We start from the raw sequence: 14,479 nt of genomic DNA on the forward strand, positions 1-14,479 counted from the left end.
CTGCTAGAGAACATCTAATTTCTACATTTAATTTCTGGATTTCCCCAAGGACTCATTCATACCTTTATGACATTCCTTTTCCTCTGAACGCTATTCAGAAATGTGTACCAAGGTGCATCTGCCATCTCAACATGGTGCTTACCTTTCTTAAGAATTTTCTTCACTTTCACATAGTTCCCTTGTTTGACATACTCATGAAGCTGAGCTTCCAGGGAGTCATTTCTTAAGGTACCAAGTTGAACAGGACAGGGGACTGGAAGACGAACAGCCCGAGACATCCTGTTCCAAAAGAGAGCAATATGCTTATTTTAACTGAACCAGAAATGCAAGGAAACAACTTAATTCTTTTACATTTAGAAACCTGTCCAGCCACCTTCATTAATAATGAAGATTAGGGGAATAATTATTGAAACTCTATGAGATTAATGTTTTTCCTCAGTGTTATCGCTGAAATTAAAGAACTTGAATATACTGTTGAATATAGAATGGTGAGAAGAGACAAGTAAAAAATATATATATTTGAATATATTTGATATGGTTTGGCTCCATGTCCCTACCCAAATCTCACCTTGAATTGTAGTTCCCATAATCCCCACAACGTCATGGGAGGGACCTAGTGGGAGGTAATTTAATCATGGTGGCGGTTACCCTCATGCTGTTCTTGTGACCAGTGAGTGAATTCTCATGAGATCTGATGGTTTTATAAGGGGCTTTTCTTTCTTTTGCTCAGTACTTCTCCTTCCTGCCATCACGTGAAGAAGGACGTGTTTGCTTCCCATCTGCCATGATTTTAAGTTCCCTGAGGCCTCCCCAGCACTGCAGAACTATGAGTCAATTACACCTCTTTCCTTTATAAATTACCAAGTCTCCGGCATGTCTTTATTAGCAGCACAAGAACAGACTAATACAATATTTGTCACTAATTCCCAGGACTGAAAAAGTGAGGACTTCTAGGAAGTAAAATTCTAAATACACGTTTATTGTGTCATTAAGATAACTTGGAGAGTATTGACTTTGAAAGGTTAGAACACAAATGCAGTCATTATGTAAAGCTAGATAGTATAACATAGTGGTTTAGGTTCACAGTTCAGACTCTGAAACTGTCTTGGCTCTGTCACCTCCCTGTGTGACCTTGGAGAAATTATTTAACATTGATAGGCCTCAATTTCTTCATCTGTAACATGGGGATAATAATAAGCAGAGGGTTGCTGAGAGTTTCTTTTTTTGTGTATGTGACGGAGTCTTACTCTGTCATCAGGCTGGAGTGCAGTGGCGCGATCTCAGCTCACTGCAACCTCTGCCTCCTGGGTTCAAGCGATCCTCCTGCCTCAGCCTCCCGAGTAGTTGGGACTACAGGCGCACACCACCATGCCCAGCTAATTTTTTGTATTTTTAGTAGAGACGAGGTTTCACCATGTTGGACAGAATGGTCTTGATCTCTTGCCCTTGTGATCCGCCTGCCTCAGCCTCCCAAAGTGCTGGGATTACAGGCGTGAGCCACGGCGCCTGGTCTGAGAGTTTCAAAGGAACTAATTTGTGTACAGTGCTTAGCATAGTACCTGGCACCAAACAAGTTCACTGTAGTTGTTAGCTGTTACTGTGCATAAGAACTATGCAGAGAAATTTTAACTTTCCAAATGTGACAGCCACACCTGACCATCATTCTTACAATCAAGTGTCTGTGGTGTACCTACTGCTATGGTTTGAATGTGTCCCCCAAAATTTATATGTTAAAAACTCGATCCCCAATATGGAGGTGTTGGGAGGTAGAACCTTTAAGATGTGTTTAGGTCACGGGGGCACCACTCTCATGAATGGATTAGTGCTATTGTCATTATAAAGGAAGTAGGTCGTTATGGCAGGAGTGGGTTCCTTATAAAAGGATGTGTTTGGGAGACGTTTGAGGTCTCTTTCCATCTCCTTATTCTGCAGCCCTATGATTAAACCTCTTTCTCTGCTGCAACCCAGTGTCTCACTATACTGACTTGCCACGTGGGATTACAATTTAGCAGTGATCCTATGAAAAGATGCCCCTTGTGGGCATTTAACCATGGCTCAGTGCCCCCTTTGTGGCAGTCCAGGTTTCCATCAGCAGCCAGAACAATCTGGTTCCACTAACCCTTTACTATAATTTTGATGAATGCATATGTTAAACATTAAAGAATTGGAGAAACTGGGCCGGGCATGGTGGCTCATGCCTGTAATCCCAGCACTTTGGGAGGCCGAGGCGGGCGGATCACAAGGTCAGGAGATTGAGACCATCCTGTGAATAGTGAAACCCCATCTTTACTAAAAATACAAAAAATTAGCCGGGCATGGTGGCGGGCGCCTGTAGTCCCAGCTACTCGGGAGACTGAGGCGGGAGAATGGCGTGAACCCGGGAGGTGGAGCTTGCAGTGAGCTGAGATTGCACCACTGCACTCCAGCCTGGGCGACAGAGCAAGACTCCATCTCAAAAATAAAAAATAAAAAGAATTGGAGAAACTGGTGCCTGAGTACTACAAGGGCTGGAATGCAAAAACAAACCCATTAAGACACCACCTGGCCTTTCTCAGGCCCTAAAGTCTGATCAAATAATAATAGCATTTTTACACATACACCTTGTACCAAGGACCACTTAAGAAACTTTCCAAGACTCTAGAGAAAGCTTTCCAGACCCTAGATCCTAGTTAAAGATTAGATATAGATTGAATGAAACACTCCACCTTGTAGGTGCACTCCCGCTTATAGGCATGGACCTTGAATGTATAGAAGCTTTGGAAAAAAAAAAACAACTTGTAACTTTTTTTTTTTTTTTTTTGGAGACAGAGTCTTGCTTTGTTGCCCAGGCTGCAGTGTAGTGGCACGATCTCAGCTCACTGCAATCTCCACCTCCTGGGTTCAAACGATTCTCAGACCTCAGGCTCCCAAGTAGTTGGGATTACAGGTGCCCACCATCATTACCAGCTAATTTTTGTATTTTTAATAGAGTTGGAGTTTCACCATGTTGGCCAGGGTGGTCTCAAACTTCTGACCTCAGGTGATCTGCCCACCTTGGCCTCCCAAAGTGCTGGGATTACAGAAGTGAGCCACCGCACCTGGCCAATAAACTCCCTTCTTTCCCAGTCTGGATCTCATTATTGGACTGTGAGAACAAGAAGCTGGACCTCATTCTGTCCTAGAACACCCTGACATTTCGGCACCCCAAAATGTGCTGGGATTATAGGCGTGAGTCACCGCGCCTGGCCAAAACTTTTAACTTTTTTAGTTGGTCTGCTGAGTTACTCCAACCTTCTCCCTGTAACCAGTTGCAGAAATAAACTCCCTTCTTTTTTTTTTTTTTTTTTCCTGAGACAGAGTCTTGCTCTGTTGCCCAGGCTGAAGTGCAGTGGTGAGAATGGCTGAAGTGCAGCCATTCTCCTGCCTCCGCTTCCTGGGTAGCTGGGATTACAGGCGCCTGCCACCACATCCAGCTAATTTTTTCTTTTTTTTCTTTTTGAGGAATCTCACTCTGTCACCAGGCTGGGCTGGAGTGCAGGGGCGCAATCTCAGCTCACCACAACCTCCGCCTCCCGGGTTCAAGCGATTCTCCTGCCTCAGCCTCCCGAGTAGCTAGGCCTACAGGCACGCACCACAATGCCCAGCTAATTTTTGCATTTTTAGTAAAGATGGGTTCTCACCATGTTGGCCAGGATGGTCTCGATCTATTGACCTCATGATGCACCCGCCTCTGCCTCCCAAAGTGCTGGGATTACAGGCAGAAGCCACCGCACCCGGCGACTAATGTTTGTATTTTTAGTAGAGATGGGGTTTCATAATGTTGGCCAAGCTGGTCTCAAACTCCTGACCTCAGGTGATCCGCCTGCCTTGGCCTCCCAAAGTGCTGGGATTACAGAAGTGAGCCACCGCACCTGGCCAATAAACTCCCTTCTTTCCCAGTCTGGATCTCATTATTGGACTGTGAGAACAAAAAGCTGGACCTCATTCTGTCCTGGAACAGAATGTCAGAACCCTGACATTTCGGCACCCCGAGACGAGCCCTCCTTTAAGCCAGGGGCCATGTCTGGCACCTCCCTTGTAGGCAGGGGCATTGCCAACCTTAGGCGCATAAGCTGGCTTGCAGCAGAGAAATGGTTTCTGATTCCGGAAGATGTCTCTGATGATTATTCCCAAGCATAATCCATATTCCCTTTCCCTTCTCCTGATCTGTTGGCCTCCTCAGAGGCCCTGTAAACTCTTTGAGGGTCCTGTTAAAGGGCACTGTTTTGGGGAAGTACTCCTGGGCCCTTTGGGTCTCAGTTCAGAAACCTGGTTTTGGTTGGGCGCGATGGCTCACACCTGTAATCCTAGCACTTTGAGAGGCCGAAGTGGGTGGATCATCTGAGGTCACGAGTTTGAGACCAGCCTGGGCAACACGGCGAAATGCTGTCTCTACAAAAAGTACGAAAATTAGCTGGGCAGCCGGGCACAGTGGCTTACGCCTGTAATCCCAACGCTTTGGGAGGCCAAGGCGGGTGGATCACATGAGGTCAGGAGTTCAAGACCAGCTTGACTGATACGGTGAAACCCCCATCTGTACTAAAAATACAAAAATTAGCCGGATGTGGTGGCGGGCGCCTGTAGTCCCAGCTACTCAGGAGGCTGAGACAGGACAACTGCTTGAACCTGGGAGGTGGAGGTTGCAGTGAGCCGAGATCATGCCACTGCACTCCAGCCTGGGCAACAGAGCAAGACTCTGTCTCAAAAAAACAAAACAAAACAAAAACCAAAAGGCTGGGCACAGTGGCTCATGCCTGTAATCCCAACAATTTGGGAGGGTGAGGCAGGTGGATCATGAGGTCGGGAGTTCGAGACCAGCCTGACCAACATGGTGAAACCCCATCTCTACTAAAACTACAAAAATTAGCCATGTGTGGTGGTGGGCACCTGTAATCCCAGCTACTCAGGAGGCTGAGGCAGGAGAATCGCTTGAACCTGGGAGGCAGAGGTTGCAGTGAGCCAAGATCGCACCACTGCGCTCCAGCCTAGGCAACACAGGGACTCTGTCTCAAAAAAAAAAAAAAGAAAAAAATTGGCCAGGCGTGGTGGCAAGCACCTGTAGTCCCAGCTACTCAAGAGGCTGAGGCACAAGAATCACTTGAACCTGGGAGGTGGAGGTTGCAGTGAGCCGAGATCATGCCATTGCACTCCAGCGTGGGTGACTGAGCAAAACTCCCATCTCACAAAAAAAAAAAAAAAAAAAAAAAAGAAAAAGAAAATTGGGTTTTATTTATTTATTTTAATGTTTTTAGAGGTGGGATCTTGCTACATTGCCCAGGCTGGTCTTCAACTCCTGGCCTCAAACAATCCTCCTGCCTCAGGCTCCCAAAGTTTTGGGATTATAGGTGTGAGCCACCATGCTGGCCAAATCTGGTTTTATTTTTATTTATTTATTATTATTTTTAAAAAATAGAGATGAGGTCTCACTATGTTGCCCAGGCTGATCTCGAACTCCTGGGCTCAAGTGATCCTCCTACCTCAGCCTCCCAAAGTGCTAGAATTACAGGCATGAGCCACCACGCTGGGCCCAAATCTGGTTTTAGAATTCTGATTTGTGAGGGCTTGTGCCTGTTCTTGTCTTGTCTGTGTGTCAGGGGGTGGAATCCTGAAGGAATCACTAGCAGAAGCTCAACAGGCCTCACTCAGAGGGAACCTCTTGTCTGTTTTACCAGGTTAAAACTCAGATATTGAGGGGAATAACTGGTGTTTGTGTCTTTGTCATGTGTATATTATAATTTTGTCTGGGCAATACGGGAAATGCTTTTTTTTTTTTTTTTTTTTTTTTTTTTTTGAGACAGAGTCTTGCTCTGTCACCCAAGTTAGAGTGCAGTTGTGGAATCTCGGCTCACTGCAGCCTCTGCCTCCGGGGTTCAAACAATTGAAACAGCCTTTGCAAAATTATGACTGAGACAGTGAAAGAGATCTAACTTAACTTACTCCATCTTGCTTCTAACTTCCAAGCTGTCCTTGTTCATTCCCGGGTGTAGGCTGAACTAACTTTGGGAGAAACTTAGTTTATAATTTAAACAAAGATGGTAACAGCCTTTTCCCAAAGCAGACTTCCTTCTTGTCTGGGGACTAGATTGCCTTTGTAGGACTAACATTAGCCACAAGATTAGAAATTATGGTTTAGGAGTCATGCAGCTGGATGCTACAAGATTCTGACCCTTCCTAAACTGCTCCTAAGATCAGTGCTTGACATATTTTGCAGACCTTGCACTTGATAGATCAGCTGGCACCACCCAGATCAATAAACTGGCTCATCTGATCTTGTGGTCCCCACCCAGGAACTGACTCAGCACAAGAAGACAGCTTTGACTCCCTGTGATTTCTTCCCTGACCAATTAGCACTCCTGGCTCACTGGCTTCCCTTTACTCACCAAGTTATCCTTAACAACTCAGTTCCTCGAATGCTCCACGAGACTGATTTGAGTAACAATAAAACTCCGGTCTCCTGCACAGCTGGCTCTGCGTGAATTACTCTTTCTCTATTGCAATTCCCCTGTCTTGATGAATTGGCTCTGTCTAGGCAGCAGGCAAGGTGAACCCCTTGGGTGGTTACACTATTCTCATGCCTCAGCCTCCCAAGTAGCTGGGATTACAGGCATGCACCACCTGTACCAGTGTGTACCACCTGTGCACCGGCTTTTTTTTTTTTTTTTTTTTTTGAGACAGTCTCACTGTGTCACCCGGGCTAGAGTACAGTGGTGTGATCTCGGCTCACTGCAACCTCTGCCTCCTGGGTTCAAGCGATTCTCCTGCTTCAGCCTCCAAAGTAGCTGGGATTACAGATGTGCGCCACCATGCCTGGCTAATTTTTTTGTATTTTAGTAGAGACAGGGTTTCATCATGTTGGCCAGGCTGGTCTCAAACTCCTGACTTCAAGTGATCCACCCACCTCGGCCTCCCAAAGTGCTGGGTTTACAGGCTTTAGCCACCCTCAGCAATTCATCCCACCAGAACAAAAGGCTAACATAGCAAACTGGTAAATTTATCTGCACAGAAAAACTGAACTACAAGGGATGAGGTACTTAACTTCCCACCTGAAGACCCAGGAATTTTTTTTTTTTACTTTTCTTCATTGAGATAGGGTCTCTATCGCTCAGACAGGAGTGCAGTGGCACAATATTGGCTCATTAAGTCTCCATCTGGGATCAAATGATTTTCCCACCTCAGTCTCCCGAGTAGCTAGCACAGGTGCGTACCACATCAGTCTGGCTTATTTTTCCACCCTTCCTAGAAACGGTATAAAATACTTAGCGAGCATCTAATTAAAACAGACCGTAACCTAAGAAGACGTAAGGTCATAACCACAACTCCAAAACCAAACGCGCGCCACTACAACAACTCTGAAAATAAACACACGCAACAACACACAAGCCGTCTTTTAAACTAGTTCAATCACAGGACAGAAAAGCGCAAAAGCAGTCCCCCACTACCACAAGTTATGCAGCCGAGTTTTCTCATTCGGGGAAATCGCGGGAGCAAACACATAGTAAAAACCCTCCCCCAAGAAAAACACTTTATCAGGACCAACAGCGTCTCTCCCCCGCCACAAAGACATTATTTACTTAATATTGCTAATACCTTACCATCGTCCTCAACACACAACATACTCATGGCAAATTGTATTATGAGTTGTTTTTAGGCATCGCTTCGAAACTACCGCTTCTTCGTATGACACATCTCAGACTACACCTTCTTTGGTATTCGCTAGAAAATTTCTCCCGCGAAGAACGCACTAGAACCGGCAATCACTGCGCCCCTATCTACATATGCCCGCCTCTTATAGTAACGTCACCACCTGCTTCTGTACGATCTGACTGAACTCCCTTACGGATCGGTTCGCTCTAGCTGCCGCTCCCAAGGATTCAAAAGAAATCGCATTGTGTGATAAGAAATTTTTTTTCTTTTTTCTGCACAGGCTCATATAATAGAAGTAACTTTTGTTATTTTTTCAGAGAATTCATACAGCCATTAATTATCCAAACCTATTTCTCAGTGCTTTTCAATGGCGTGATCTCGGCTTACTGCAACCTCCGCCTCCCAGGTTCAAGCAATTCTTCTGCCTCAGCCTCCCGAGTAGCTGGGATTACAAGCGCCTGCCACCACACCTGGCTAATTTTTGTAGTTTTAGTAAAGATGGGGTTTCACCATGGTGGTCAGGCTGGTCTTGAACTCCTGACCTCAGGTGATCCGCCCACCTCGGCCTCCCAAAGTGCTGGGATTACAGACATAAGCCACCGCGCCTGGCCCTCAGTGCTCTTTTCATTCCACTTAAGAAATTGGAACACACCAGGATGAGGATGATGATGCCAAAACTAGATTGATGGCTCACATCATCTAGGGTACAAATACACGCTTAATAATTTAACACTTTAGGCCAGGCGCGGTGGCTCACGTCTGTAATCCCAGCACTTTGGGAGGCCGAGGCGGGTAGATCACCTGAGGTCAGGAGCTCAAGACCAGCCTGACCAACATGGTGAAACCTCATCTCAAAATACAAAATATTAGCTGGGCGTGGTGGCGGGCGCCTGTAATCCCAGCTACTCGGGAGGCTGAGGCAGGAGAATCTCTTGAATCCAGGAGGTGGAGGTTGCAGTGAGCCGAGATCGCGCCATTGCACTCTAACCTGGGCGACAAGTAAAAAACTCCATCTCAAAAAAATAAATAAAATAATAATAATAATTTAACACTTTATTGAACTCAAAGCAACATTAAGCATCTTTGCCTTCGTTTTACACAGCTGTAGGGGAGCTCAGGGAGGGGAAGGCTGCATGGTTTTCCTTGGCGGGGAAGGTGTGCACCCTGCAGTCCTGCGGTGTTGTGGGAAGATTAGCCCATGTTCTGTCGGTTGCCGTAGCCCCTAGGGTGGGTGTCCTTCCAGTCATCCCACTCTCGAGCTCTTTGGAGTGTTTGTTCATCATCCTCTTCCTCCTTTTCTTGATCTTCCTGTTGCTGAGTGGCTTTTCTGAATTCTTCTGGTGTTGCCTTGGCTATTCCCTGATCTGGTAACACTCCATGTTTCTGATGTTGATCATACCAGTCACTCACTGTCATGGAAGCCAGACTTGGATAGCCAGCGCCAAATACTTTGGCTTGCGCCATGTTCCGAGTGAGAATGAAGGGTTTCATTGGAGGCCTCTTCTGGTGACATGAGTTAGAAGTGGATGCCTCTCTTGAAGAGTCTTTCTCTCCCAGGATCTTTATTTCCTGATCAATGCTCTCAATCTCTTCTAAGCTGATATCAATCCACCTCTGAAGGTGAAGAAGATAATATTCACGAACACGCTCATTATCTGCTTGACCACTTTCCACAGCAGATTTCATTGTAGACAACTTATGCTCCAACACCTTCTTCTGCTTGTATCGCTCTATTTTAGCCTGTCTTTGAGATGCCATAGCAACGAGGCTAGGATAAGCCGTGGAGGTAATAGCACCGTGATTTTCAGCTGAGTTGGTCTTGGTTTGGGGCAGCTCAAACTCGGCCACACGATAGTAATGGCACTGAGTTAAGTATTTTATAAAGTGTTCGCGAGCCTGCTGCAAATGATCTAGACGCTTACGGGGGTTGACTTGTTTCATGGTGAGGGCTCCTTGAAACGCTGGCACCATCAGGTACTTCAGGTCGGTGGAAGTAATCTCCTCCAAATCTTCATTTCGGCTGAACAAGTCAAGCTGCGATAACATTTTGGCAACCTTGTCAAGGAGGTCGAGGCCCTTGAACACCTTTTCCTGGACTATTCGGGAACCGGTGGGTTCAGTCGCTCCTTCGACTTCGTCCAGAAGCTGTTTGCTGGAATCGAACAGCTCGGGGAGCCGCGGCGGCGGCAGGAACTCGTCTTCAGCAGCTGCCATCTTGGGAAGGCTGATGCGAAATGTTGATTCCTTTCCTTTCTGGACACACGTAAAGATTCTGGCGTAGATTTCTAACAACCAGTCTGAATCGGGCGCTGCACGGCAGGGCAGTCAGGGAGGCGGTGGCGTTGGGGGCGGCATAGGGGAAGGCAACGGAGTCGGTTGTGCCGGGTCTGAATCGCTGCTCCACTCCGGGTCTTCGTCAAACTTTGTCTCTCTGTTTCCGTTTCCTAAAATTGTAAAGTGGGAATAATACTGCCTTCCTGGCTCACAAGATTTCTGTGAGGACTGAATAAGAGAATGCATGTAAAAATGCAGCTACCCCCAACCCAGGCTATTCTGCCCCTCGACTGCTGCCCCCTGTACTTTGGGACCCCCAAAGTGACTTTGCCAAGATTCAAGTATCTGCAGTTCCTGCCACACAGGGAAGTAGCATCAGGCCCGGATTTGGTAACAAACCGAGTGTTCCTGTATGTCTATATCTGTGTATGTATGATGTAAAAAGTACTGGGATTACAGGCGTGAGCCACCACGCCTGGCCTAAAACTCAGTTTTCAAAAATTACTGAGTGGCCAGGCGCGGTGGCTCACTCCTGTAATCCCCCACTTTGGGAGGCCGAGGTGGGCGGACTAGGAGGTCAGGAGACCGAGACCATCCTGGCTAACACGGTGAAACCCCATCTCTACTAGAAATACAAAAAATTAGCTGGGCGTGGTGGCGGGTGCCTGTAATCCCAGCTACTCAGGAGGCTGAGGCAGGAGAATTGCTTGTACATAATACATATTATGTGTGTACAGATATATAGCACACATATCTCACACACACACACACACACACACACACACACACACACAGAATCAAACCAACTACATGACCAAATTATGACTAAATCAAAGACCCCAAATAAGTTGAGATGGAGAAACACAGCCCCTCAGTACAGAATGTTATTTGGAGAGTTCCCTTACGTGTGGGGAAGGGCAGCAACAGGCACAACTATTAATCTCAGATCATGGCTGTTCCTGCCAACTCAGGTGTGCTGTCCTAAGACATGCCCCTCAGTTTGTGAGTCTCACCTCATCTCTGAATTTCCAACCATCACTTTGCCTCATGGGAGTCAAGGAAGGAAGGGTTGATGCTCAGAAATATGAGAGTGACATATATACTCAATAATTTTTAAAAGCTGAGTTTTGTTACATAAGTTCACAAAGCAGTTGTGACTGTTAAAATGTCATTAATGTGACCGGGCGCGGTGGCTCACGCTTGTAATCCCAGCACTTTGGAAGGCTGAGACGGGTGGATCACAAGGTCAGGAGATCGAGACCATGGTGAAACCCCGTCTCTACTAAAAGCACAAAAAAATTAGCCGGGCGTGGTGGTGGGCACCTGTAGTCCCAGCCACTCGGAGAGGCTGAGGCAGGAGAACGGTGTGAACCCGGGAGGCAGAGGTTGCAGTGAGCCGAGATGGCACCACTGCACTCCAGCCTGGGTGACAGAGTGAGACTCCGTCTCAAAAAAAAAAAAAAAGAAAAGTCATTAATGTTGGCCAGGCATGGTGGCTCACACCTGTAATCCCAGCACTTTTGGAAGCCAAGGCAGATGGATCACCTGAGGTCGGGAGTTCAAGACCATCCTGACTAACATGGAGAAACCCTGTCTCTACTAAAAATACAAAATTAGCCGGTTGTGGCGGTGCATGCCTGTAATCCCAGCTACTTGGGAGGCTGAGGCAGGAGAATTGCTTGAACGTGGGAGGCGGAGGTTGCAGTAAGCCGAGATCACACCACTGCACTCCAGCCTGGGCAACAAGAGCAAAACTCCGTCTCAAAAAAAAAAAAAAAAAAGTCATTAATGCCAATGTAACTGAATCTAAATTTTTTTTTTTTTTAAGACAGAGTCTCACTCTGTCACTCAGGCTAGAGTGTAGTGACATGATCTTGGCTCACGGCAACCTCCATCTCTTGGGTTCAAGCAATTCTCCTGCCTCAGCTTCCTGAGTAACTGGGACTACAGGGATGCACCACCACGCCTGGCTAATTTTTTGTGTTTTTGGTAGAGATGGGGTTTCACCATGTTGGCCAGGCTGGTCTTGAACTCCTGACCTCAGGTGATCTGCCTGCCTTGACCTCCCGAAGTGCTGGGATTACAGGCATGAGCCAATGTGCCAGGCCACTAAATGTCTTACTCAACACCCTGAGTTGTGGGGAGCCAAATCCATTCACTCCTGAAACACACTGGCCCTGAAGCTGCATTTCTCAGCCACAAAGCTCTGCAATAAAAACCATACTAACTCTATTTAGGCCAGGGGCAGTGGCTCATGCCTGCAATCCCATCACTTTGGGAGGCCGAGGTGCTGATATCACCTGAGTTTGGGAAGGTGGAGGCTGTGTTGTGCCACTGCACTCCAGCCTAGTGAGAGTGAGACCCTGTCTTAACCGCTCCCCCAGCAACAACAAAAAAACAACAGCAAAAACCCAACTCCACACTATTTAGTACAATTGCTGATTTAGGACAATTGCTGGATTACCTTCATCCACAAAGTGTGACCCAGCCCACCTCGGTTATACTATATAATCTCATTATTGAACTACCTTCCTAATTTTATTCCAGAAGGTTTGATTTCACATGAGGAAAGTAATACTTTGGCTTTCAATGGTATCCATGAATGCCAGGCTGACCACAGCTCTGAGGCCTCTATGATTATTTGTGCCCCCTCATGGCTCTGATATCACAGGTACTAACAGACCCTTTTTCCTATGCTGGGAGAACTCCATTTCTGATGACCACATTGTCTACTCCAGTATTTTTGCCATTCATATTCTTGAATTTCTTTGCTGCTAATGATGAAAAACACCTGTTCTCAAGTCATTACTTACATGTAGCACATACTTCTCATTTACTGACAGCCACTTAAATGTTCAAGGTCCAGTCCGCTGGCCTAGCCACTGGGGATACTAAGAGGAATAATGCAGAGACTGAGTCTGCCTGCAATAAATAAGATCATAGTCTGTAGGGAAAACAGACTTGCCAGACCTATAAAAAGTTCAGCAGGGCCACATTACGATTTTGAAGGGCCCATACTTTTGCCTTTGTGTGCCTGCCTCCTCTGATAAAATATATACATTTCCATTAAAATATATGTTAAAAATGCTATCTTATGACTGCATTGATTAAAAGATGAATATATTATTATATATGACATTTTCTTCCACCTAAAAATTCATTTTTTTCTTCTGATTTTTAAAAGAAGTGCCCCTAGGCAGTGTGCCTGTGGTACGTAACAGATAAGGCCACCCTGGGTTCAGTGGCACTGAGTGGATCCCAGGCAGTTTGGAAGGGCTGAAGTATAAGTTTTCCAGGTAGATGAAGAAGGGCAGGGCAGGGAAGTGCATTCCAGGAAGAGCAGGCATGTAAGTTTGTGGAAGTAATACAGCAAGGCTCTCTGGAAACTTTAAAATAAGGAAACAGATTAAGTTAGAGCACTGCTTGTCCAGTGGAATATGATGTGGGCAACATTCGACATATTCAGTTGAACATTTTTAGTAGCTATATTATTATTTTTATTATTTTATATTTATAGAGATAGGGTCTCGCTATGCTGCCCAGTCTGGTCTTGAGCTCCTGGTCTCAAGCCATCCTCCTGCCTCAGCCTCCCAAAGTACTGGGATTACAAGCATGAGTCATCAGGCCCGGCCCACATGAAATTAACTTTATTATCATGTTTTGCCTGGGTGCAATGACTCATGCCTGAAATCCCAGCACTTTGGGAGGCTGAGGCAGGATGGCTTGAGGCCAGCAGTTGAAGATCAGCCTGACCAACTTGCCTAAACCCTGCCTCTACTAAAAATACAGTTAGCTTATTGTGGTCATGCGTGGCTGTAGTCCAGCTACTCTGAGGCTGAGGCATGAGAATTGCTTGAACCTGGGAGGCGGAGGTTGCAGTGAGCCGAGATCGCGCCACTGCACTCCAGCCTAGGCAACAGGGTGAGACTCTGTCTCATAAAAAACAAAAAACAAAAAAACCCACAACTCATTGCGTTTACCTCACTAAAGTTCCTAAGCATTAAATGATAGCAAGGTACAGCTTTAAACAGTAAGCAACGGTAACAACCCTGCAACCCCAAAGCATTCTTAAGAACCAAAAGAAACAATGAAAAAAAAAAATAAGGCTGGGCGCGGTGGCTCACGCCTATAATCCCAGCACTTTGGGAGGCCGAGGAGGGTGGATCACATGAGGTCAGGAGTTCAAGACCGGCCTGACCAACGTAGTGAAAACTCGTCTCTACTAAAAATACAAAAAACTAGCCACGCGTGGTGGCGGGTGCCTGTATTCCCAGCTCTACTCAGGAGGCTGAGGCAGGAGAATCGCTTCAACCTAGGAGGCGGAGGTTGCAGTGAGCCGAGATTGTGCCACTCAACTCCAGCCTGGGAGACGGCGAGACTCTGTCTCAAAAAAAAAAAAAAAAATTGGGTGCCATGGCTCACGCCTGTAATTCCAGCATTTTAGGAGGCTGAAGGTGTGGATCACTTGAGGACAAGAGTTCGAGACCAGCCTTGCCAACATGGTAAGACGCCATCTCTACTAAAAATGCAAAAATTAGCCAGG

The 14,479-nt window shown here is 46.4% G+C and overlaps 2 protein-coding genes and 1 non-coding gene across 5 annotated transcripts in view, besides 3 other annotated features; all 3 read right to left on the minus strand.

Moving 5' to 3' along the window:
• TEX14 (testis expressed 14, intercellular bridge forming factor) overlaps positions 1 to 14,479 on the minus strand; it is a 135,368-nt gene that overhangs the window by 95,046 nt on the left and 25,843 nt on the right. For all 3 annotated transcript variants that reach the window (NM_031272.5, NM_198393.4, NM_001201457.2), the window contains exon 2: positions 143 to 279. In NM_031272.5, the coding sequence (NP_112562.3) occupies positions 143 to 278 (136 nt within the window). In that variant the 5' untranslated portion in view covers position 279. The remainder of the gene's footprint in view (positions 1 to 142; positions 280 to 14,479) is intronic.
• Positions 6,168 to 6,720: an enhancer, noted in NCBI's record as "OCT4-NANOG hESC enhancer chr17:56735252-56735804 (GRCh37/hg19 assembly coordinates)". NCBI's record gives its function as "activates a minimal SCP1, AML or CMV promoter by ChIP-STARR-seq in primed H9 embryonic stem cells {active_cell/tissue: H9 hESC(primed)}" and the evidence as "EXISTENCE:reporter gene assay evidence [ECO:0000049][PMID:30033119]".
• Positions 6,852 to 7,622: an enhancer, noted in NCBI's record as "NANOG-H3K27ac hESC enhancer chr17:56735936-56736706 (GRCh37/hg19 assembly coordinates)". NCBI's record gives its function as "activates a minimal SCP1, AML or CMV promoter by ChIP-STARR-seq in primed H9 embryonic stem cells {active_cell/tissue: H9 hESC(primed)}" and the evidence as "EXISTENCE:reporter gene assay evidence [ECO:0000049][PMID:30033119]".
• On the minus strand, positions 7,426 to 7,582 carry LOC124904122 (U1 spliceosomal RNA). Its single transcript, XR_007066000.1, has one exon. It is a non-coding gene; the product is annotated as a U1 spliceosomal RNA (small nuclear RNA).
• IGBP1C (IGBP1 family member C) overlaps positions 8,701 to 14,479 on the minus strand; it is a 31,622-nt gene continuing 25,843 nt past the window's right edge. The window contains exon 2 of the mRNA NM_001395966.1: positions 8,701 to 10,106. Within this exon, the coding sequence (NP_001382895.1) occupies positions 8,854 to 9,876 (1,023 nt within the window). The 5' untranslated portion in view covers positions 9,877 to 10,106 and the 3' untranslated portion in view covers positions 8,701 to 8,853. The remainder of the gene's footprint in view (positions 10,107 to 14,479) is intronic.
• Positions 9,485 to 9,986: an enhancer, noted in NCBI's record as "H3K4me1 hESC enhancer chr17:56738569-56739070 (GRCh37/hg19 assembly coordinates)". NCBI's record gives its function as "activates a minimal SCP1, AML or CMV promoter by ChIP-STARR-seq in naive H9 embryonic stem cells {active_cell/tissue: H9 hESC(naive)}" and the evidence as "EXISTENCE:reporter gene assay evidence [ECO:0000049][PMID:30033119]".

This window comes from Homo sapiens, chromosome 17, assembly GCF_000001405.40.
Source record: "Homo sapiens chromosome 17, GRCh38.p14 Primary Assembly".
Lineage (NCBI taxonomy): Eukaryota > Metazoa > Chordata > Mammalia > Primates > Hominidae > Homo > Homo sapiens.